This window comes from Homo sapiens, chromosome 4 (genome assembly GCF_000001405.40).
Source record: "Homo sapiens chromosome 4, GRCh38.p14 Primary Assembly".
Taxonomy (NCBI): Eukaryota; Metazoa; Chordata; class Mammalia; order Primates; family Hominidae; genus Homo; species Homo sapiens.
Window position 1 is genome coordinate 186448779 of NC_000004.12, and position 24120 is coordinate 186472898.

Here is a 24120-nt window from a genome sequence, read left to right on the forward strand (position 1 = left end):
GCCTCAGCCTTCTGAGGAGCTAGGACTACAGGTGCACACCACCATGCCTGGCTAATTTACTAACTTTTTGTGGAGATGGGGTCTTGCTTTGTTGCCCAGGCTGGTCTCAAGCTCCTGGCACAAGTGATCCACCTGCCTCAGCCTCCCAAAGCTCTAGGATTACAGGTGTGAGCCACCACACCGGGCCCAGAGTCCCTGATTTCTGGGGCTTCTTTTCAAGTCGCAATAACAGATGACTGTGACAAGATGGATATGTAATCACCTGATTTATCCCTTAACCCTGCTCCCTGGAGCAGAGTCAGCTGGAGAATTCAGAGCCGCAGCGCCCAGGTTTCTTAGGTAGGCAGGCTCAGCTTCCCCCTTTGTATGTGGTTGTTCTTTTCCCTCATGGCATGATTCCTTGCTTGTGGTAAGCTCCTAAACTAATATAAGGTTTTAGAAATCATTTCACCAAAGTGGTTGCTTTGGTAGAGGAGAGAGAGGGATATATCTGGAAGAGACACGAGAGTGCTGAAAATGTGCTATTTCTTAGCCTTCTTAGGCCAAGAGTTACACTGTAACATCGTAGTTACAATGATGTGCCTACTTTGTGACAGATTCATAGAAATGTGCAGTTATGATTTGTGTGCTTCTGTGTCTTATTTCCATTTTAAAATCTTAACAGTAAAAGAGTGGCATGCCCCTGTAATCCCAGCTACTAGGGAGGCTGAGGCAGGAGAATCACTTGAACCTGGGAGGCGGAGGTTGCAATGAGCCGAGATCATGCCGCTACACTCCAGCCTGGGCAACAGAGCGAGACTTCACCTCAAAAATAAATAAATAAATAAAAATAAATAAGAGAAAGCTACAGAATGGTATCTCTGTGTTATCCTCTGTGATTTGCAAAATGTTTTCTCTGTATACTTTTAAACATACAGAATATTTCTGGAAAAACAAACAAGAACTTAGTATTAATGGTCATCAATAGTGGGAGGTCAGGGAATAATCATGGGATCTTAGTAGAAACCTAACATTTTTTGTGTAAACTTTTATGTACTCTTTAAATTTCTCAACATTTGTATGTGTATATTTTCAAATAAATCAACATTTACAAAATAAATAAACTAGAACCGAACTGAACTGAAAAAAGTGGGCACTGTATTAAGGGACAGTTTGTTTGGTGTGGACGAAATATTCAGAAATGTAGTGATGGACGTATGCAGCAAAGCAAGGAGCAGATTGCAGGAGGTCCAGCACGCCCAACAAAGGACTAGACTGTATATTTCCCAAACTGACACTGAGCCTGTCTTTCCCCGCCAGACTCCTTCTCCAGTCTTCCCCTTCTCAGTATTTTTCATCACAAACCACCCAGTTGTATAGACTGCACATGGATTACGCAACCACAACCTCTCCTTCTTCCCCGCCATCATAGTCGTCACTAAATCCTTTGCAGTCTAACTCGAATGTCTATTTTTAATACTAATTTTTCTATTTTTTTTTTACTAATTTACTACCTTCCTTGATGTCCACAGATCCTACCCTCGGCCAAATCACCACCTCCTCTCCCTGACATATTATAGTATTCTTCTGACTTGCTTTCTACTTGCCCCGTTCTGTGCCTAAAGAAAGCACTTCAGTGGGTTTACACTGCGTGTTGATACCCCCTGAACCTAAAATAAAAGTTGAAAAAAAAATGAAGCTGTGATTGTCGTGGTCAACAACACCCCAGGGGATGTAGTCCTGCCTCCCTCTCAGCCTCACTTGGAAGCAGTCCTTCGCTCTTCCGTGTTCCAGCCGCTCTGCTCTTCTCAGTACCTTGAACTTAACTCACTCTTTCCTGACTTGGAACCTTTGAGATGTTCCGTCTGCCTGGAACTCAATTCCAAACCATCCTTGTGTGGTTGGCTCCTTCTGTTTCTTTAAGTCTTGATTTAAAAGTTCCTTCCAAAAAAGAGACTTGCTCTGATTACATTCAGTGTTCCTGCCTCCCAATCGTCTGTACCACGGCTCCATGGTCACGGCATTCCTCTTCCTTCTGTCTCACATATTACAGGCTGCTGCGGGGGTGCAGGGGGGAAGCTACTGCAAAATCCATGGGATCAGCTGGGCGTGGTGGCGGTGGCTCATGCCTGTAATCCCAGCACTTTGGGAGGCCGAGGAGGGTGGATCACGAGGTCAGGGTGGATCAAGAGGTCAGGAGATCGAGACCATCCTGGCCAACACAGTGAAACCCCGTCTCTACTAAAAATACAAAAAATTAGCCAGGCGTGGTGGTGGGCACCTGTAGTCCCAGCTACTTGGGAGGGCTGAGGCAGGAGAATGGCACGAACTCGGGCGGCAGTACTTCTAGTTAAATCTGGTAAATTTAACACATATCTTCCTCTGCATTCTCTGCTCACTAAAATAATGAAAAAACAATTTTTAAAGGCATAGTGAAAGACATCAACAACATTTTTGAAGTTGGAAAGTGAATGGACTTATTAAGGCAGAGACATGACTCTGCAAGAAGGAAAGTAACAAGAAGTAAGCCAACATGTGACAGAACCCTAAAAAGTTAAAACATTTGGGGCACAATGAATTTCTGGAGGATGGTGTGTGGAGTGGGGCTGGGACAAAGTTTATAAACTAAGTGCAGGCACCTTATATCCCAAACACAAGCCAAAAAAGAGTGGCTTAATTTCTGAAGAGGCTCAACCATAGTAGGTCTGGCCTTGGAGGGATACCAGTCTCCGCTGAGGGTCTGTTAAAATGATGTCCTGAAAACAGGGATGTTAGGTAGACATCTGCATACCAAATGGAGAGGTCTTCCACCCCCAGCTCACTTCTCCTACTTGGCTCTTAGAATACTGGTCTTAGGCTTCTAACATACCTCCACCCACCCCACCTCTGCAACAGCAACAGGAAACTGGGAGACTCCTCTTGAGAAAACTGAGGAGCTCAAGAAAAAAAGACATTTAGATGCTCCCAATGGAAAAGTCAGCATGCCAGATTTCCAGTGTTCCCCTAAATTCATTCTCTCTTCTGCACCCTCTTCTCTGCCCTAGGAATCTGAGCTGTAAAGGCTACATAAGTGATCCTCATTGCCCTCTGGCTTTTTACTTGGTTCAACTACTAGGGAGCCCAGCAATAGATGTAAGGGTAGAAGGAGAATATGTCATGAGCACTTATGCACTGGTTCCCCTACATACAGGATTGCTTTCTGCTGACTGAGCTGTTGATCAGGCATCTTGGTTTCTCTTCCAAGACTCTCATTTTCTAAGCTCTGGTAATCACTTCTTCCCTCCATCCCTTTGAGCCCAGGAGTGGCAATAAACTCAGAGTAATTCCCAATTCCTTGCGTGTTTTCAACACTCTATAAATGCCCAACAGGTTCTTTTTGCCTGCTGCACAGAAAAAGCCAACTCACTGAGACAACAGTATTGCAGTAGAGAAAGAGCTTAATGCTCACAGGGCTAGACAAGTGGTATGATGGGAGTTAACTACCCAAGTCAGCCTCCCTGAGAACTCAGAGACTAGGATTTTTATGGATACTTTGGCAGGCAGGGAGCTAGGGAATGGGTGCTGCTGATTGGTTGGGGAGGAAACCATAGGGGTGTAGAAAATGCTCCTCGTGGGCAGAGTCAGCCTCCAGGTGGGGGTCACAGGACCAGCTGAGTCATGAGTCATGGGTCTGGTTGGGGTCAGTCTGTTACCAGAATGCAAAAGTCTAAAAAACATCTCAAAACACCAATTGTAGGTTCTACAATAGTGATGTTATTTACAGGAGTAACTGGAGAAGTCACAAATCTTGTGACCTCTGGCCACATGACTACTGAGCAGCAAGATATCATAGGAAAGAAATCTAGGGGACAATGGCTGGATATCATTTAACTACACCTACATCTTAGAAGAGTTCAGGCCCCTCCCATCATCCTAATCTTGTGGCCATTCCTTTATCTTACAATGGTGGCTTCAGTTCTCAGACAGTGGCCTTTCATTAGTCTTACAAAGGCAGTTTCAGTCCCCAAATAAGGAGGGAGTCAGTTTTAGGGGGGAACTGTTATCATCCTTGCTTTAAAGTTAAACCAGAAACTAAATTCCTCCCATAGTTATTGTATTAGTCCATTTGCATGCTGCTGATAAAGACATACCCAAGACTGGGCAATTTACAAAAGAAAGAGGTTTAATTGGACTCACAGTTCCACAGGGCTGGGGAGGCCTCACAATCATGGCAGAAGGTAAGGAGGGACAAGTCACATCTTATGTGGATGGCGGCAGGCAAAGAGAGCTTGTGCAGGGAAACTCTCCCTTAAAATACTGTCAGATCTCGTGAGATTTTATTTGCTATCACAAGAACAGCAGGGGAAAGATCTGCCCCCGTGATTCAATCATCTCACATCAGACCCTCCCACAACACGTGGGAATCATGGGAGCTACAAGATGAGATTTGAGTAGGGACACAGAGCTAAACCATATCAGTTATCTTGGCCCATGCCTAGGAATAAGTGAGGACAGCCAGCCTGTGGGGCTAGAAGCAAGATGGAATCAGCCATGCTAGACTTACCTTGCTGTCATAATCCTTGCAAAGGTAGTTTCAATTCTGTCTACATCATTGTAAGTTGTCATTTCACTCAATTTTCCTAAAAATTGTCCTAATTTAAACACTGCCTTTTTTTCCCCCAGGACTCTGACACTACCAGTTCACTATATTGTGGCCTTCTCAATGAAATCCTCAAGCCCTCAAATTCAGCTCTTACCTACAGAGCATCCAACCAGCTTTTTAGTGGTTCATTTTCAACCATGAATGGACAGCCAAGGATCAATCACCAGACACGTGAAAAATCTTCCAGCATGAAAGATAGACCAAAACGAAGAGGAAAAAGATACAATGAGATCACATGAGAAGAAAAGAAGAAGACAGCCAATATCTCTCCAATAGGAAATTTAAAGATAAGAAAAGGGAAGAAAAAATAATCAAAGAAAAAGTTCAAGAAAAAGTTCCCAAAGTGAAGGACCTCATTGTAAAAACGTAAAAATAGAGAGATGCTGCTAAAAACTTCCATAAAGAAAAACAAGTCACATCACAAATCAGGAGGATGGCCACCTTCTCAACAACTTTGGAGAAATTCCTTACATTTATGAAGAAAAATGACTTGCAACCTAGAATTTTATAATTAACCCAACTATTAATCCAATGTGAGAATGGGATTATAACATTCATAGACAGGTAAATACTCAAAAATCTACTGCAGTAGACAGCTTCTAAGATGACCCCAAATGTCCCGACCTCCTAGCATTGATGCCCTTATAGGATCTCCTCCCACTGAGTATGAGTTGGACTTAGTGACTTACGTCTAATGAATGGAGTATTGGAGGAGTTATGGGACACTGCTCTAATGTTAGGCTATAAGAAGACTGTGGCCTCCATCGCGGGCACTCTCTGATGTTCTCTTTTGGTCTCCTTCCTGTGGGGGAGGTCGGCAGCCACGCCATGAGGCAGTTTCTCTGAAGAGACCCACAGAGAAAGGGCTCGATGCTTGCCAACAACCGTGTGAGTATGCTTGGAGGAGTCCTAGTATATATGTTTAACATGACATAGTTTCTCAGTTTATTATAACACTTGTAACCATAATAGGTCTGTTGCCCAACTCACACAGCAAGTCAACATACTGAGATATGGGGCTGCAGCAGAGAAAGGGGTTTCATCATAGGGCTGCTGAATGAGGAGATGAGAGGAAACCCCAAATTCATCTCCCTGGGGAGTAGGAGGGTGGGGTTTTTAAAGAATTTTGGAGTAGGCTGAAGTGTGAAGATCATGGATTGGTCAAAGAGTGCAGGGTGAAATACTGGGACAAGAAGATGAAGAAACAGCATTCCCACGTTGATTTGGCTCCTCTGTGGGGTCTTCAAACTGGTGGCATCAACTATTCTCCTGGAATTCAGAATCTGCTTAAGCACTTCTTAAACACAAGCCTTATGATTCTAAGGTCAGAAATCCTCCCTATAGGAACAGTGCGGACGTGAGTGCTCAGTGCCGGGTGCAACAGCCCTTTCAGTTACAAGGAAGTGGGTCAAAGCGCAGCCTGATTATTGCTTAATTACAACAACATTTCTGTCCAGAATTCTTGTTAACACTGTCAGGACAGCCTTATTGTATTAAGTATAATAATCACATTGAAAATTATTTAGGCTTTCCTCAAAAAGACAAACCACAGATCAGCAGACCATTTGCAAAGCATCTAATTAATAGAGGGATAATGTTCAGGATTTGTAAGAGTTTGAAAAATATATTAAAAAGATAACTGAACAGAAAAATTCTCAAAGAAAACAAATAGGCAAATCACAGAAAAAAAACACAAGTGGCCAGTGAAGAGATACCAAAACTTCACTAATAACCCGGGAAATAAAAAGTTAAACTAAAGCTGACACCATTTTCACCCATCCATTTTGTACACATTATGAAACCTGTTTTCACCAACCTGATGCTAAAAAAGAAAAAAATTATAAAGTCTAACATTATCAAGTATTGTGAAAATTTTGAAAAATGGAAATACTCATCCGTCATTAGTGTGGGTATAAACTTGAAAAACCATCCTGAAAGTATTTTGATTATGTCTATGAAAGCTACCCCCCAAAAGTACAAGTTCTACAAAAGAGCAATTTTACTTGTTACGTGCATTATATTAATACCTTACACATCTGCAGTGAGACATGTAAAATAATATTTTAAGGACAAATAAAGATTAAAAGTGGGCCTGGCACAGTGGTTCACGCCTGTAATCCCAGCACTTTGGGAGGCCGAGGCGGGCAGATCATGAGGTCAGCAGTTCGAGACCAGCCTGGCCAACATGGTGAAACTCTGTCTCTACTAAAAATACAAAAATTAGCCAGGCGTGGTGGTGGGTGCCTGTAATTCCAGCTACTTGGGAGGCTGAGGCAGGAGAATTGCTTGAACCTGGCAGGCGGAGGTTGCAGTGAGCTGAGACCACGCCATTGCACTCCAGCCTGGGTGACAGAGCAAGATTCCATCTCAAAAAAAATAAAATAAAATAAAATAAAATAAAAAATAAAAATAAAAATAAAAAAGATTAAAAATGATAGCCGAATTCTTCCGTTTGAAAATAAGGTAAGAAACTTCTCCCTCTCTCTTTTCTTAGAACATTTACTTTAGAAGATTTGTAATTGTAAGTTCCTTTTCTGTCTCTAAATCTTTTTCCAAGCCCAATAAGCCTCTTGCCAGCTTTACGACCCAGGAATGGCTTTCTCAAGCACCTGGAAATCACCTCTTTGTAAACATCGAGTGAGACAGTGCCTCTGTGGCCCAGTTTCTGGGGGAGAGTAAGAGCCTGTCTTTGGGGGATGCCTTGCTCCTAGTTGCAAAACTACCTCTTGTCATAAAAATAAATGTTTATTTTTCCCTCATTTAAAAGTGATTACCAGGTGAATTTAGGATGAACTGTGTGTAATAAATGGTGCTATCACATTCTCTCACTTGAGGACTAGTTATTATATACCTTGAGAGCATGTATGTAATGAATTGTATCTGCTTGGTTATACGAAGGGGTGAGATTTCTTTCTGTCTTTGCAATCTCTTTGTGGGTTGTCTGTGATATATAGCACATTCTGATTTAATGCCTATTCAATTTTTAAAAACTGTTTTCTTTCTCTGCTACCTTTGTGAAGAGGTTTTCTAGGTTGGGAGAAGATTTTGGTTTAAATTAAATTTCCCCAGCAATGTTCATTATAGCATTGTTTGTAATAGTGAAAAATATAAGTACTTTAAATATCCATTTGTAGAAGAATGAATTATCATAAAATAATACAATGCACTAATATACAGCAGTTAAATAAATAAATTAGCACACTATGTGTCAAAATGAGTAATCTCAAAAACATAATATTCAATGAAAACATAGTTGCAGATAATAGAAGTATGATTTTGTTTTCATAAAATTGAAGATACTAAATATATTATGTATGGTTATATGTAAAAATAGTAAATATATAAAAATAACAATAGGGCCAGCATGATGGCTCATGTCTGTAATCCCAGTGCTTTAGGACACTAAGGTGGGAGGATCACTTGAGTCCAGGAGTTCGAGACCAGCCTGAGAAATGCACGGAGACCTTGTCCCTAAAAAAAAAAAAAAAAAAAAAAATAGCTGATTGTGTGTGCCTGATGTCTCAGCTACTCAGGAAGCTGAGGTGGGAAGATCCCAGGAGTTCAAGACTGCAGTGAGCTGTGATTGCCCCACTGAACTCTAGCTGGAGCAACAGAGTGACACTCCATCTCTAAAAAAAAAAAAATAAAAATAAAAACAAATAACAATAGGAAGCATATCCACCAGTGTGCAATTACCATTACCTGTGGTGCAGAAGGGAAGGTAATCATTTTGGGAATAAGAAAAAGGAGAGTTTGACTGTATCTGTAATATTTTATTTATATGAAGCAACATATAGCTAGATTGCAACATATAGGTAGTAATCTGGCTTTTAGATACAGAAAATAATATGACTTAGATTGGTGGGTGTTCATCATATTATTCTCTCTACGTTTTAAAGTTTTCATGACAATAATATTCTCATAAACAAAAACAGAGTTCCTGGATCAAAGAAAAACCATTTTAGAAGACGTTTTCTTCCAAAAGTTTGACCAGTGAGTGGAAAGTATTTCAAACATATTCTCTACACACAAAATCTGCAGACCTAACTCTCTTTACCGAGGAGGAAAGCTATCTCTCATTCTCAGTTTGGCAGGGCAATCTCGTGATGGGAAACATTTCCTGTGGGTTTTCAGGGGCCAGTGAAGAAGTAGAACAAAGTACTTGCTACCTGGGTTACCTGTTAAGACCACAGATCCCGCCAGAGCATATCCTGGTCCCTGTGACGCCATGGAACCCAGTAGTCAGCCTGGGGCACCATTCCTGTTACCGGAAGGGGGTCCCGAGCCAGACTCCAAGAGAGGGTTCTTAGACCTTGCCCAGGAAAGAATTGGGAGTGAGTCCATAGAGGAAAGTGAATGTAAGTTTGTTAGGAAAGTAAAGGAATAAAGAGACCAAGGTGGGCAGATCATCGGGTCAGGAGTTCGAGACCAGCCTGACCAACATAGCGAAACCCCATCTCTACTAAAAATACAAAAATTAGCTGGGCGTGGCAGCGCACGCCTGTAATCCCAGCTACTCGAGAGGCTGAGGCACGAGAATGGCTTGAACCTGGGAGGCAGAGGTTGTAGTGAGCCGAGATTGTACCACTGCACTCCAGCCTGGGAGACAGAGTGAGACTCCGTCTCAAAAAAAAAAAAAAAAAAAAAGAATGAAGAACGTCTCCTTCATAGGCAGAGCAGCAGCATGCGCAGCTCCACTGGGTATACTTACAGTTATTTCTTGACCATATGCTAAACAAGAGGTGGATTATTCATGAGTTTTCCTGGAAATAGGTGGGGATTTGCCCCAGAACTGAGGGTCCCTCCCCTCTTTGACCTTATAAGGTAACTTCCAGACATTGCCATGGCATTTGTAAACAGTCTGGCGCCGGTGGCAATGTCTTTTAGCATGCTAACTCATTACAATTAGCATATACTGAGGATGACTGAGATGACTTTCTTGGTTTTTAGTTTTCATTGTAGGTTTGGGGGTACATGTGAAGGTTTGTTACACAGATAAGCACGTGACATGGGGGTCTGTTGTGCATAATATTACATCACTCAGGTATTAAGCTGAGTGCCCAGTAGTTACCTTTTCCGCTCCGCTCCCTCGTCCCTCCCTCCCCCCACAAGTAGATCCTGGTGTCTGCTGTTTCCTTCTGTGTGTTCATAAGTTCTTTTTTTTATTATTATTACATAAGTTCTTATCACTTAGCTCCATTTACAAGTGACAACATGCAGTGTTTGGTTTCTGTTCCTGTGTTAGTTTGCTAAGAATGATAGCCTCCAGTTCCAAAGACATCATCTCAATCCGGAGGTCACTTTCATTGCCATCTTGGTTTTGGTGGGTTGTGGCTGGCTTCTTTACTGTGTCCTGTTTTATCAGCTGGATCTTTGTAACCTGTATCTTGTGTCGACCTCCCCTCTCATCCTGTGACTATTCCTCCTGGGAATGCAGCCCAGAAGATCTCAGCCTTATTTTACCCAGCTCCTGTTCAAGATGGAGTCGCTCTGGTTCCAATGCTTCTGACATTCCCATCTTTGTTATTACTGTGAATACTTTTTTCAAAGTATAATATATTTATGATATCAGTTATTAAGGAGCCCTGACACTGAGATAAACCTTGTTAGCATCTGCTGCTCACTCTGGATGCCTGCCCTAGTGGGAGAGCCCTTATGACTCCCATCCTACTCTGCTTTTCTATTGTTCTGCAACACATTGAGGAATCCAAAGAGATCCTAGAGATAACCCATCCTCAGTCAACACATTTTCCTCTCTCCTTTTCTTCTCTTCTCTTCTTTCTTTCTCTCTCTCTCTCTCTCTCTCTCTCTCTCTCTCTTTCTTTCTGACAGGGTCTCACTCCGTCACCCTGGCTAAAGTGCAGTGGTACAATCTCAGCTCACTGCAGCCTCAACCTCTTGGGCTCAAGTGCTCCTCCCACCTCTGCCTCCCAGGTAGCTGGGACTACAGGTGTGCACCACCACGTCTGGCTAATTTTTTTGTATTTGCAGAGACAAGGTTTTGCCATGTTGCCCAGGCTGGTCTTGAACTCCTGGGCTCAAGCGATCCACATACCTCAGATTCCCAAAGTGCTGGGACTACAGGCATGAGCCACTACAGCCAGACTCCTCTTTTCAAAGGTTGTCCTGAAATGTTCTCGAAAATAAAATAGCTATCAACAGCTGCAGTCTTAACCCCTATTTCTTGCAGCTGGAAGGTATCAGAATATGCCATCCCAAAATATGCCTCATTGGCATGTGGATGATATTGAGCCAAAGGCAACTGAGAACCAACAGAGGAAGGAAAGGCCCTTTACCTTCTCCCAACTGCCTGAAAACAGAGTATACATTTCCCCCTTTTGTAACAGAAATTTCCATTTATAAAGGACATTTTTGTCTCTAAAAGTGTCGCTGTATCAGGAAGAGAGTTTCTTCCTATTACCTGGAAACAACACTTATCTGCACAGCAAGACCGCACTAATTTACCATGAATTTCCTCTCTTTACCTTCCAGAATTCCTCCTCCCACCCCTCCAAAGCCCCATATTCTTTTTTTAAGCCTAAAATGGTATAGAAACCTCAGTCATCTGACCACTTCCTTAAGTGTCAATTTTTTGTGAAACTCCCGTGCCCACATATATAATTAAACCTTTTTTCTCTTGTTGATATGTCATTTTTCAGTTTAATTTCCTGGGCCCCAGCCAGAGTACCTAGGAGAGCAGAGGGAAATGGTTTGCTCCTCCCCTACACTGCCCCAAGATATTAACAGGACGTAAAAGCATATTCTCAAGCCCTCATGATATAGGATTTTTCTTCTCGGTCACTTTGCCAGCCGAGGATCCCCAGCAGGCAACGCTCCAGCTCACCTGTGTTATAGCTTGTACCTGCGTTTGGCAGTTCCCGAGCTCTTGTATTGTGCTCGAGAAAAATGAGGATATGCTGGACACTGAAGTGCAAGGAGGGCGGAGAAGAATTTTATTGAGTGATGGAGCAGCTCTCAGCAGAGAGGGGACGCGGGAGTCGTCCCCGACCCCCACAGTCGGGTAGTTCTTCTGTGGCTGGGTCCAGAGCTTTGTATGGACTCAGAATAGGGGAGTGCATGCTGATTGGTTTGTGAGTATGCAAAAAAGGTTAAAGCAAAGACATCACTCAAAGGTGGGCGTGACAGTGCAGAGAACCAATTAGGAAAGGGTAGGTATATGTAAAATAGGTAAAGGGTGGGGATTAATCAGAGGAAAGTATGCCAAATGGGAAGACAAGTTCTCAGTCCGGTTTGAAGATTGAACTTGTGCTTGGCTTTTAGGCTTTAAACTGTCTTCAGCTTGGAGGTGAGGTTTCACCGGGACCTGCCCCTATTGGCTAGGCATGTGACTGCCTCCTGCTGCTATCACTCATATGGAACTATTTTCTTCAATGTTTAAATGTTTTTCATTTCTACTTGGCAGCTTTTCCTTTATCTGGTGTTTATTGTTTTAGTAGTTCTTTCAAAACAAATTGATTGTGACCAACTTTTAGAAACATTAGGGGAAGAGTGGGGCATATCTTTGTCTATGGTCCTTAATATAATACTGTTTGTGTAAGGGCTTCATGGAAACTGAAAAACGAAGATATTTATCATGAATTTAGATATAAAAGTTCATCAAAACTTTGTCCTAATGAGTACAGTACTTCTGAAAAACATTCTCCATTCTTCAAGCAAGCTTGTACTGGGCATGCACTGTTCTCAGGGCTGCCAGTATAAAGTGTAGGGGAGAAAAACATTCTCTGACTTTCTACCCATCTTAGTTTCATGGGTTAGGGACTGCCAATTAGACAGACAAAAGATAGATTAGCAAGAGATAAACAAACAGAAATTCATTAACGAGTGCATTGCCCATACACACAGGAGTACTCGGTAACGAATAGGTCAAACAGGTGGCTAGAACCTGGGTTTATATTTTACCATCTTAACAAAAGAACAAGAATTTTGTAGAGAAGTAGCAACACAAGGGAAAGGGGCCTTCAGTTCTAAGGCCAGCAAATTGTGGAAAGGTAAATCGATGAAGGAAAACAAGGGAAGACAAGGGCTATTAGTATGGTTCATTCTGTAGATTCCTCTCTTACACAGATTCTCTGGGCTGGGAAGGGTCTCTAGAGAGTTACCTCTGGCCATTGAGAGTTATCCTGCCCTTCCCGGTAGAGAGGGGGAGGTCAGAGAGTTTTTCTTGCATCTGTTCTTTTTAATTGCTTTCAGCTCAAAATAATCCTATTTCAAAGTGGCATATTTTGGGGTGGCACATTCTGAACTCCTTCAAAGCAAGGGAGAAAAACATAATCCCTGACTCCGGGTGTAAAGTACAATGAAATAATTCATATTCAAAAGGAATTTGATCCCTTTGATAATCAGACTTGGGTTTCCACCAGAAACTGATACAGCTATTTGTCAAGAACTGGTTGCCTGGACTTATAGGAAATGACTCTTGAATACTCAGGCAAGAAATTTCAGATTCTCTGAAAAGGTGACTACCACAATGTTCCATTTAGAGTTCAACCATTTGGAGATGTACATGACTGACTTCTGTGCACTCTCAATTTTTGCAAATATATGAAGAACCACCCCCCACTGAGTTTTTCCTCTGTAGAGTGTGAAGGTAAACCCTCACCCCAAAATATGGCTCCCTGATATCACAAGTATTTTGAATTAAAGGCCCTCAGAGATCAACAGACATTGGAAGAGGCTTTTCTCCCATCTATATCAAGACCAGATGAACCTACCAACAAGAGCATTTTTTTTTAACCTCTCCTCCTGCTATCTCATTATCTATCGCAGAAAAGATTAAGAATGAAACCACACCTGAACTGACTCCATAAGCTATTATCTGTCTCTTGGGTTTATTCAGCTTCCAAAGGGAACCATTTACAGGTTAATCTCCATTGCCCAATCCATTCATTCTTCCAGGTAATCATTTATTGCCCCTCAACAGTCACGTATATTCCCTATCCACCCGTCCCCTGAAATGAGGCCATACAGGTATCTGGACTCCAGTGGGATATTGGGCAGTCATCCTGTGAATCTCCCCTGTGCACATGTTAATAAACTGGTATGCCATTTTTCCAGTTAATCTTCCCTTTGTCAATTGATTTTCCAGGGAACCTTAAGAGGACAAAGGGGAAATTTTGTCTTATCCCCTGCAAGTGGGAAGGGTGAATATTCACAGCCAGCTAACTTAATGAAAAATCTCACAGAAAACATGACTGGCTGAAGCCTAAAGCAAAATAAAATCTTCAAGGGGTCTCAGAGCTACAGAAAGTAGTAGGAACATGGTGATCTCTCTCCTGACAAGCGTACGGCCTCATCATTTTTCTATGAGGATGTCACAAGAGGCTCCCTGAGGATTTGATCAGCACTGTTGTCGGGCACCAAGTTCAACTGAGTGTTCCTGATGAATTAACATGTTAATAAAGTTAATATAAGGGTGGCATTAATAAAAGGGTGCTTGCCGGGCGCGGTGGCTCACGCCCATAATCCCAGGCGGGTGGATCATCTGAGGTCAGAAGTTGGAGACCAGCCTGGCCAATGTGGTGAAACCCTGTCTCTACTAAAAATACAAAAATTAGCCAAGCATGGTGGTGGGCACCTGTAATCCCAGCTTGGGAGGCTGAGGTAGGATAATTGCTTGAACCCAGGAGGCGGAGGTTGCAGTGAGCTGAGATTGTGCCATTGCACTCCAGCCTGGGCGACAAGAGTGAAACTCTGTCTCAAAAAATAAATAAAAAAAATTAAAAAAAAGTTAAAAGGGTGCTCTTACCTAAAGGCAACTCTCATTAGCATAGACAGACACCAAAAATAGTTCTATATGGTCAAGAGATGTTTATATTTGCCTGTTATCTATATAATTGTTGGTCTACTTAGACATAAATTTCCCCTTCATTTAGGTGCATTAAAATTATAAAGAAAAATTTATCTTGGAGATTTCCATTGAAAGGGAGAAAAAAACCTTTATTCCTCTACTCCCCTAAATTCTCTGGCTGGACCTGCAAATCAAACTGACAGATTAATAAAAGAAAAACAAAGTTTTAGTTACACACATATGTATGGATGTTTCACAAAGAAATGAACTCAAGGAGGTGGTCAGATAATTGAGGCTTACGTACACTTTAGGCCAAACAAAGCAAAAGAGGTTTGGGGCTTCTGAGTGAGGGAAGGCAAGTTATGGAAAAGAGAATGAGGAAATGCAGGTAAATGCGGCCTGTCTTGCTATGCAGGTGAGAGTCTGAGGTGGAAAGAGTTGTCTCTGTGGCCAGGTGCAGTGGCTATGCCAGTAATCCAGCCTTTGGGAGGCCAAGGCGGGAGGACTGCTTGAGCCTAGGAGTGCAAGACCAGCCTGGATAACAGTGACAAACTGTCGCTACAAGAAAGAAAAAAATTAGCCAGATGTGGTGGTGTGTGCCTGTAGTCCCAGCTACTCAGGAGGCTAAGGCAGGAAGACCACCAGAGACCAGGAATTGGAGGTTACAGTGAGCTAGGAGGGTGCCACTCCTCTCCACTCTTTAGTAACAGAGGAAGATCTTCTCACTAAAAATAAAAATATAAATAAATAAAAATTATTTGTAATTCCAGCACTTTAGGAGGCTGAAGCAGGAAGATTACTTGAGCCTAGGAATTTGAGACCAGCCTGGGCAACATAAACAGATTCTGTCTCTACAAAAATTAAAATTAAAAAATTAGCCAGGCGTGGTGACGTGCTCCTGTAGTCTCAGCTACTCCAGAGGCTGAGGTGGGAGGATCACTTGATCCCAGGAGGCCAAAGCTGCAGTGAGCTGAGATTGCACCACTACACTCCAGACTGGGCAACAGAGCAAGACCCTGTCTTTAAGAAAAAGGAGGGGGGTTTTCTCCAGGAGTAGCTGTCTTCCAGGTACAGAGGCCCCTCTCCCAATGGAAGTTACCTTCGTAAGTGTAAATTTCCTTTATAAAAGGGGAGGTTGATTTTTCACGCAGACAGGGAAGGTAAAGAGCTTTTCCTTCATCTGCTGGCTCTCAATTACTTAGTCAAAAGAATCCCTATGCCTAAGAAGTGTATTTTGGGGTGGCATATTCTGGTACCTTTCTCCACCCTCCCTTTCAGAGCCCCATATCCCTTTGGGCAACAGCTCTTGACCATTAGGATCTGCTCTTGGTTCCTTACTTGAGACCAGTCAGTCATTCGCTATTATGAATGTTTCATGGGGAACCTTTTCTCTAATGATGGAATGAAAGACAAGTTATAGAATTCTAAATGTTAACAGGCAGCTTTGTCTTGGTACCACGGAGATGCTACACAATCCAGTGTGTGGCTTACTGATATCCAATTCATTCATTTGGTAAAAATCAATTATCTTAATTAACACTCCATAAGTATTGCCAGTATCTACTAAATCTAACTTAGGTTTTATTTATGAGTTTGAATGGAAGTAATTCACCTCAACATGTCCCAGAATTTCAATTTTTCTGCATGACATCAGAGAGAGTATGATAGAATTTATTCTTTATTGCATTAAGTCTGGCAGAACATCATTGGAAAGTCATTCCTCCAGAAATATTTATTGAAGATTCTCGATATGCCAAAATTTTTATGCATGGAAGATAGGAGAAAAGCTGCATGAGGGTCTATAAAATCTTTTGAAAGTTAGTTATTTCACTGGGAAATGAACCATGGGACCATGTTAATTAGCTCAGATGACATTCTTTAATGGTAGAGTCAGTGCTGATAAAAAGCAAAAGACTGGAAAATGTAAACACAGCATTTAAAATCTAATTCCATGTCAGTGCTTTGGGACTCCTTTTCGTTAGGCTCTCTCTCTAGGGGAAGTCTTTAATAAGTCTTTATCAAGTGCATTCTGAGGGGCCACATTTTCTACATTTGCATTAGGAGATTGAAAGCAGGTTTATAACTTTTAAAGATCAAATTACTTCTATGCATTTTATGTGCCCCAATTTCAAGTGTAAAGGGCACATACAAAACTATGAAGAGGGACAGATGGCAACTGGACTTTACATAATGCTTGAAATAGACACACTGATGATCCTAAACACATTTTTAGATATCTAAAGACAAAAATCATCATTGAAATAGAATTTAAGTGAAACAAGAAAATTTTAAATTAAATATATATTATATATATTTAGTACACATATATTTAAAATCATCTTGTTTCACTTAAATTCTATTTCAATGATGATTTTTGTCTTTAGATATCTAAAAATGTGTTTAGGATCATCGGTGTGTCTATTTCAAGCATTATGTAAAGTCCAGTTGCCATCTGTCCCTCTTCATAGTTTTGTATGTGCCCTTTACACTTGAAATTGGGGCACATAAAATGCATAGAAGTAATTTGATCTTTAAAAGTTATAAACCTACTTTCAGTCTCCTAATGCAAATGTAGAAAATGTGGCCCCTCAGAATGTACTTGATAAAGACTTATTAAAGACTTCCCCTAGAGAGAGAGGAATATATATATGTAGGTGTTTTGGTAGAGACAGGGCCTTGTTTTGTTGCCCAGGCTGGTCTTGAACTCCTGGGCTCAGGCGATCCTCTTGCCTCAGCCTCCGAAAGTGCTGGGATTATAGGTATGAGCCACTGTGCCTAGCCAGACAGTTTTTTTAAAAGAAATTCATCTTCACATTGTGACTATCAATGTATCATACTAATATCTGAAAAGCTCATACAGATTCAGAGTTCAACCACCTCACTCCCCTAACCGCACCCCCCTCCCCCCACCCGCCAAAAAAAAGAATAAAAAAAGAACAGTGGTCTCTTCTGTTAAAGAAAAGAAAAACAAACCTAGGAGAAACCAAGTTTGGAGACAACAGATGATCTGTTGCTACTGGAGGCCATCTCTTCATAAGGAAAGAGAGCATCGCCACTGCCTCGGGCTCCAGTCATGCAGGTGGCCCTATGTATAAGTCACTCAGTCTACCTGAAGCAAACTGCTCCTCCCAGAACAGTGAGAAGAGGGCCTGGTAACCAAATTACACCTTGCTGCTTTTTCTGCTCTCACTCTTTTCTTCTGGTTCACATGAGAAGAGGGGATTCTGAATCATAAACTAGATCTAGAAGACATACTGGCTATAGTTTTTGGTTAGTGAAACATAAACAGAAATCTATTTTGATTTGTATTCTCATTCTTAAATCAACTTTCTCAGACATATCAACACCTTTTTTTTGGCCAAAGTACAATATGGCAAATATAATTTACTATTTCTTATCAAATTAAGATTGTGATCTATCTCAAGGTCACAATTAAACATGACGTGTGCTTTTTAAAGAATAATTTTAGTTACAAATATATAAATAAGGCCACCTGTAATCCCAGAACTTTGGGAGGCCAAGGCTGGCAGATCACTTGAGGTCAGGAGTTCGAGACTAGCCTGGGCAACATGGCAAAACCCCATCTCTATTAAAAATACAAAAATTAGCCAGGCACGGTGGCACGTGCCTGTAATTCCAGCTACTCAGGAGGCTGAGGCAGGAGGATCACTTGAACCTGGGAGGTGGAAGTTGCAGTGAACCAAGATGGTGCCACTGCACTCCAGCCTGAGTGACAGAGTAAGCCTCCATCTCAAAAACAAACAAACAAAAAAAGAAATTACAAATATATAAATAAAAGAAACAGAACTAGTGAAGCTCAGCTCGTTTCCTAAAAAGTAACAGTGAAACTGGAAAAGGGAATCCCAGATTCACCCCAAGCACTCATTCCCACAGCTGCTGGGAGGGTCAACGGGTTCAGTTCTGCTTCCTCCAGCCTCTCTCAGGTGCAAGAGAGGAAAAATATCTTCCATCTACCCTTGTAAGTTCTCAGCTGGGAACCCCTTCACAAAAGACAGATTAATAAGAGAAAAAGCATAGAAATTTAATTAATATAAGTTTTACATGGCATGGAGATGTCCATGAGAAAATGAAGACACAAAGAAAGGGTTAAACTGGGGTGTGTTTCTGCTGTTTGATGAAGAGTGGAAAGTCCTGGGGAAATGTGACAGGACAGAATATGGGCTAAGAGCACGGGCTAAGAGTATGGGCTAAGAGGGGTAAACGGGGGGACACTTGGCAGGGCTCATTTGTTCTAATTACTCTCAATACCCCTCTGTCTTTGGAGATAAGAATGTTGTCCTCCAGGTCTAGGAAGGCACCTCTCACATGAGGGTCTTATCGCCTGCTTCAGGAAAGAAGGACAGAGGCAGGTTGGAGAGACCTTCTTGCCATTTCTCGAATTCCTTCAGCTTAACATATTCACTATGCCAAGGTGCCATATTTTGGGGTTGCCCTGAACCCCATCAAAGGCATTGATTTCTAGCGCACTCTCCCATAAACTTTCTGTACCCAAATCTCAGTCTCCAAGACTGCTTTCTAAGAAAACTGTTTTGTGTCTGTGTACATGTAAGTCAGTAAATATAAACATCAGTGAAGGGCAACGCATCACAATGCTGAAACATCTTTCAAAGAAGTAAGATTAAGGCGATGAACTTGAAAATGATTTTGTAATTGTCTTACAAAATACACATCCATGTTATCCTTGCAATTTTGTTTTCCATGTAAAACATGTCACATGACTGAAAAGGTTCTCATTAACCTATTAAGAACTAAAAACCACCATTGAGCTCAACCAGGTGTTCTTATTCTCATGGTCTGACATGTCTTCCTCTCCTTCCCCACTCTCCTTCTTCCCCAATAGTCTTCAGACATTCAGTTAACTATGGTATGTGCTCTTTTTCTCAAGGCCAAGTATTTCCAAGTCTCCTCTTATATGATGTCTTATATAAATAAATGTTTAAAGTATATCAATATAAAATTGAGATAATGGAAATATTTACTGTTCCTATCACTTCATCTTTTCAAAGCCAACTTTAACAGCAAACACTATTGGCCTCGCAAGGCAGGAGATCTGAAGACGGATATATTAAATAAATAATTTTGATATGTACCTTGAGCCAAGATAATAATATAAGATTGTGAACACTCGCTGGGAAAAATAACGATCTGGTGTAGAAAATGACAGGATATTTGAGAAAATATAGGTATTTTTCTGGACAAAAGTAAACATTAATGTATTTATGAGATGTTTCTCACTGAGAAGTAAACTCTGACCTTTTTTCTCTCTTGCCCATATTCCTATCTAAGGGGCCTGCGGAGTCACGACTACAAACCACGACTACAAACCAAAACATCTCATCAGGTGGGCTTTATTTCACCCTATATAATGTGGCTCACTTTCCAACCCAACACTGGCATAACATCACATGAAAGATAAAGAAAGAAATCAAAATATTTTACCCCAAAAAATATGTAGGGCTTTTCGCCATATTTTAAAATGGCCCTGCAGAGTCTTTTGTGGGGGAAATTTTTGTCCGTGAAGAATCTCTGTTAACACAACTAAATCTTCCCCTTCCAGGCCCTCCCAATCCTGAAGAGATTAATTGAGAATCTATTTCTATTTCTATTTTTTATTTTTATTTTTATGTTTGTGTTTTTTGAGACAGGATCTCACTCTGTCACTCCACAGGCTGGAGTCCAGTGGAGGGATCTCAGCTCACTGCAACCTGTGCATCCTGGGCTCAAGCAATCAAGAGTCCAGCACCTTTTAAAGGTTTGAAGAGGAGACATTCACCATCTATTGTATCTAAGGGCAGCCACCTATAAGATTTCATAAGAACCTCAGTGTCCACAGCCCCTTATGTTAACCCAGACACTCCTTTCTATTGCCTCTATTATTCTATTTAGATAATAACTCTTTTAACCAATTGCCAATCAGAAAATCCTTGACTCCATCTACAACCTGGAAGCTCCCTCTTGGAGTTGTTCTGCCTTTTCGGACTAAACCTCATGTGTATTGTATATGTCTCCCCAAAACATATAAAACCAAGCTGCAGCCCAACCACCTTGGACACACGTTCTCAGGATCTCTTGAGGCCACGCCTCCGGCCATGGTCACTCATATTTGGCTCAAAATAAAACTCTTCAAATACAGAGTTTGGCTGTTTTTGTTGACACTGTAGGGATAAAAAAGCTATTACATAATATTTGACTGTACTGACTGAGTTATAATTTACAAAGGACAGAATTCAAATAAATAAGAAGGAAATTCTAGAGAGGCAGCCTTGTTGACTGACCATCTTGCTATCTGAAATGTTCAATTGTGGGAAGTGGAAATGGACTCTTTTCCTACACCATAGACGAGGCTAAGAGTAGGCAACAACCGGCCATGTACTACACGCAGATGGATGGCAGAGACAGCCAGGACCTGGATAACCTTGATACCCTAGAAAGAGACACACTACCTGTGAAGTATATGTACCCAAAAGACAAAAATTATCTGAATCTAATCAAGGACTTGGATCTAATAACTGGTTTCAAAAAATACCAATGAGAGCTGGGTGCAGTAGCCCATGTCTGTAGTCTCAGCTACTCTGGAAGCTGAGGTGGGAAGATGGCTACAATCACGCCTGTGTACAGTCACTGCACTCCAGCCTGGGCAACACAGTGAGAGCTCGTCTGGTAAAAAATACACATGTAGGTGATGAAGGAAAATGATGCCATGGGGACATAATCAACAAAATCTAGAATTGGAAATTTCTAGATGTAAATTATTAGGTTTCTTCAACAAATAGCAAGGAAAAAAGAAGACGGAGGGAAATCACAGATTAAAGAAAGGTGATACATATGAAGCCAATGTGATATGTGGTCCTTGTTTAGATCCCAATGCAAACAAACCAAATATAAAACAAACATTTCTGAGAATTGAGAAAATCTGCACACTCACCAGATACTGGATTATATTAACATTATTGTCGATTTTAGGGCTATTAATAATATTGTGTTTATGTTAAAGAAAGAATCCTTATGTTTTAGAAATATATGTTGGAGTGTTTCTGGATGAAATGATATGATGTCTGGAATTTCCTTTAAATAATTTGGGAGGTGGGAGGGTGGGTGGAAAAGAAACAGATGAAATAACAGCAGACAAACGGCAGTGATTGTTGAAGGTGGGTGATGGCTGTGCAGGGTGGGTGAACTGAAGAAAATGATGGAGGTGATTTTTTTTTTCTTTTTTTTTTTTTTGAGACGGAGTCTCTCTCTGTTGCCCAGGCTGGAGTATAGTGGCCTGATCTTGGCTTACTGCAACCTCTGCCTCTGGGTTCAAGTGATTCTCCTGCCTTGGCCTCCTGAGTAGTTGGGACTACAGGCGTGTGCCACCACGTCCAGCTAATTTTTGTATTTTTAGTAGAGACAGGGTTTCACCATGTTGGCCAAGATGAATCTCTTGACCTCATGATCTGCCCACCTCAGCCTCTCAAAGTGCTGGGATTACAGGCGTGAGCCACCGCGCCTGGCCTGACGGAGGTGATTTTAATCCATTTAGAGGTTTATTTTGCCAAGGTTGAGGAAGCACCTGGCAAACAGAGACACAAGCCACTGTAGGATCTGTGGCACCCCCTTTTTCTGAAGAGGATTTTGAGGGCTACAATATGAAAAGGGGAAAAGGAGGCAGGAGGGGAAAAGAAGGAAAAGGAGAGGGAGGGCTGGTCACGTTCTTTAGAATCCACATGAAAAGGAGCGGGTAGATGAACCGTCAATTCTGCATTCATCTCCTGCTCAGTACATCTGTACTCTACATAAGATAAGGTGAACTTCAGTAGAGGAAGCAACTGAATATGCATTCGTCTCAGGGTGCGCAGCGGGACAATTTCTAGGCTCCTCTCGTCCCGTACTCTTGAAGATAAACTGTTAATTTACATGGTCAGAGTGAGGGAGGCCCCTGTGGAAACATGTGGCCTTCTATCTGTAGCTATTAGTTTAGGAGCAAAAGGAAAGGCAGGGTTTTTTGGTTTTTTCATGACTCAGTTTTCAAGCTTAACTTTTCCATTTTGGCATAGCGAATTTGGGCTCCCAAGATTTTGTCTTCCTTTCATAGGAGAAAAAATAATTTCTTTTCTCAATCCTTGTAAGTTCATTAGTGGGACAGATTCCTGTTAGCAGAAGACAGATTAACAAGAGAGAGAAAAAAAAGCATTTTTATTTACGTGTGTGTCTATCCCATGGGGAGAAAGCTGAGTTCAAAAGTAAGGTGGCTTAGGGCCCTGGCTTACATAGCACATCTAGCAAAGAACAATATATTCAGAAGTGACAGGACAAAGGACCAAGCAGCTCCAGGCTCCCAAAAGTGGGACAACTATGGAAAGGTAATAAAGCCTGCTCCCAGATTCCTCTGGCCCTGCTGGCGCCAGCCCCTGCACTGATAAGTGAACCACTACTTACATCTCTGTCTTCAGGCAGATAGGGGAGGCAGAAGCTTCTCCGCATTTTTTCACAGCAATTTTTATGGCCTGCCTTAGGTAAGAAAGGGCAGCTCAGACAGCCCTTTCCTGTAACTTTACTTTCCACTTGCCAAAGAAGCATATTTCGGGGTGAAATATTCTGGTGTTCTTCAGATGTATGGGGATTCATAAGATTATTTTCTCTCCTGCTGTCTAAAATTCCACAATGAAGAAGTTAAAAAATCTCTACTGTAATTAAAAGTAAACTGAAAAATATTACAGTTATAGTGAATTAAATAATTGAAGTTTTCATATAAAAATGCAAGTTTTTAGAATCTATGCATCTGAAGGATTTTTTTAATCTAAAAATTGAATATAAAATATGTAAATTATGTTCTTTTCTAACCTAGGATGCTACTTATTAAAAACCTAAATTATTGCTATAAAGAAAATAATAGAGATATTTTAGTTCATCTTAATTATATATTTTATAGTTTGGTTTTTTGTTTTGGGGTGTTTTGGTTTTTATTCATTTTATTTATTTATTTATTTATTTATTTTGAGACAGGGTCTTGCTCTGTCTAGAGTGCAGTGGTGCAATCATGGCTCTCTGCAGCCTCAACCTCCTGGGCTCAAGTGATCCTCCCACCTCGGCCCTCAAGTAGCTAGAACTACAGGTGCTCGCCACCACACCTGGCTAGTTTTTGTGTGTTTGTTTTTTTTGTTTTTTTGGTAGAGATGTGGTTTTGCCATGTTGCCCAGGCTTTAATTATATATTACATAGGGACTATCAAAGACACTGTCAGTGTAAACATGCTAGAAGCCAATATAAGCCACTCCAAACAAGCAGTGTACCTACATGACAGCTTTTCAATCTAAGTCGTGAGGCTTGGTCAGAGTTGTGCCTGAAATTATTGAATTTTATTTCATTTCTTATGCACTGTTATAGCATTAGTAAATGTATTATGCACTATTACAGCATTATAATTCTTATGAAATAAAACATACTCTGTATGATAAAACAGATGCTGAGTTCTACAGAAACTCTTCAATTTATATTACCCCAGCAAAATATCAGCAATAATGGCTAACAAGTATGGAGTACTTTCCGTAGTGTCTAATATATTACTGCATTACATCAGTGGAGTGGTATTATTAGTGCTTCTCTTTCTTCTCAGGCTGAGGAACCAGCAGATGAGAGGGTTCATGAAGGAACCACTAGTTCCAGAAGTGCTGGATCCTGCCTTAAT

General features: G+C 41.3%; 1 long non-coding RNA gene across 2 annotated transcripts in view, besides 1 other annotated feature; it reads right to left on the minus strand.

The window, feature by feature from the left end:
- Window positions 1-24120, minus strand: part of F11-AS1 (F11 antisense RNA 1) — a 214961-nt gene that overhangs the window by 162681 nt on the left and 28160 nt on the right. The window lies entirely within an intron of this gene.
- Window positions 22737-23031: a silencer, noted in NCBI's record as "tiled region #13116; HepG2 Repressive non-DNase unmatched - State 22:ReprW". NCBI's record gives its function as "represses a minimal TATA promoter and a strong SV40 promoter by Sharpr-MPRA in HepG2 cells {active_cell/tissue: HepG2}" and the evidence as "EXISTENCE:reporter gene assay evidence [ECO:0000049][PMID:27701403]".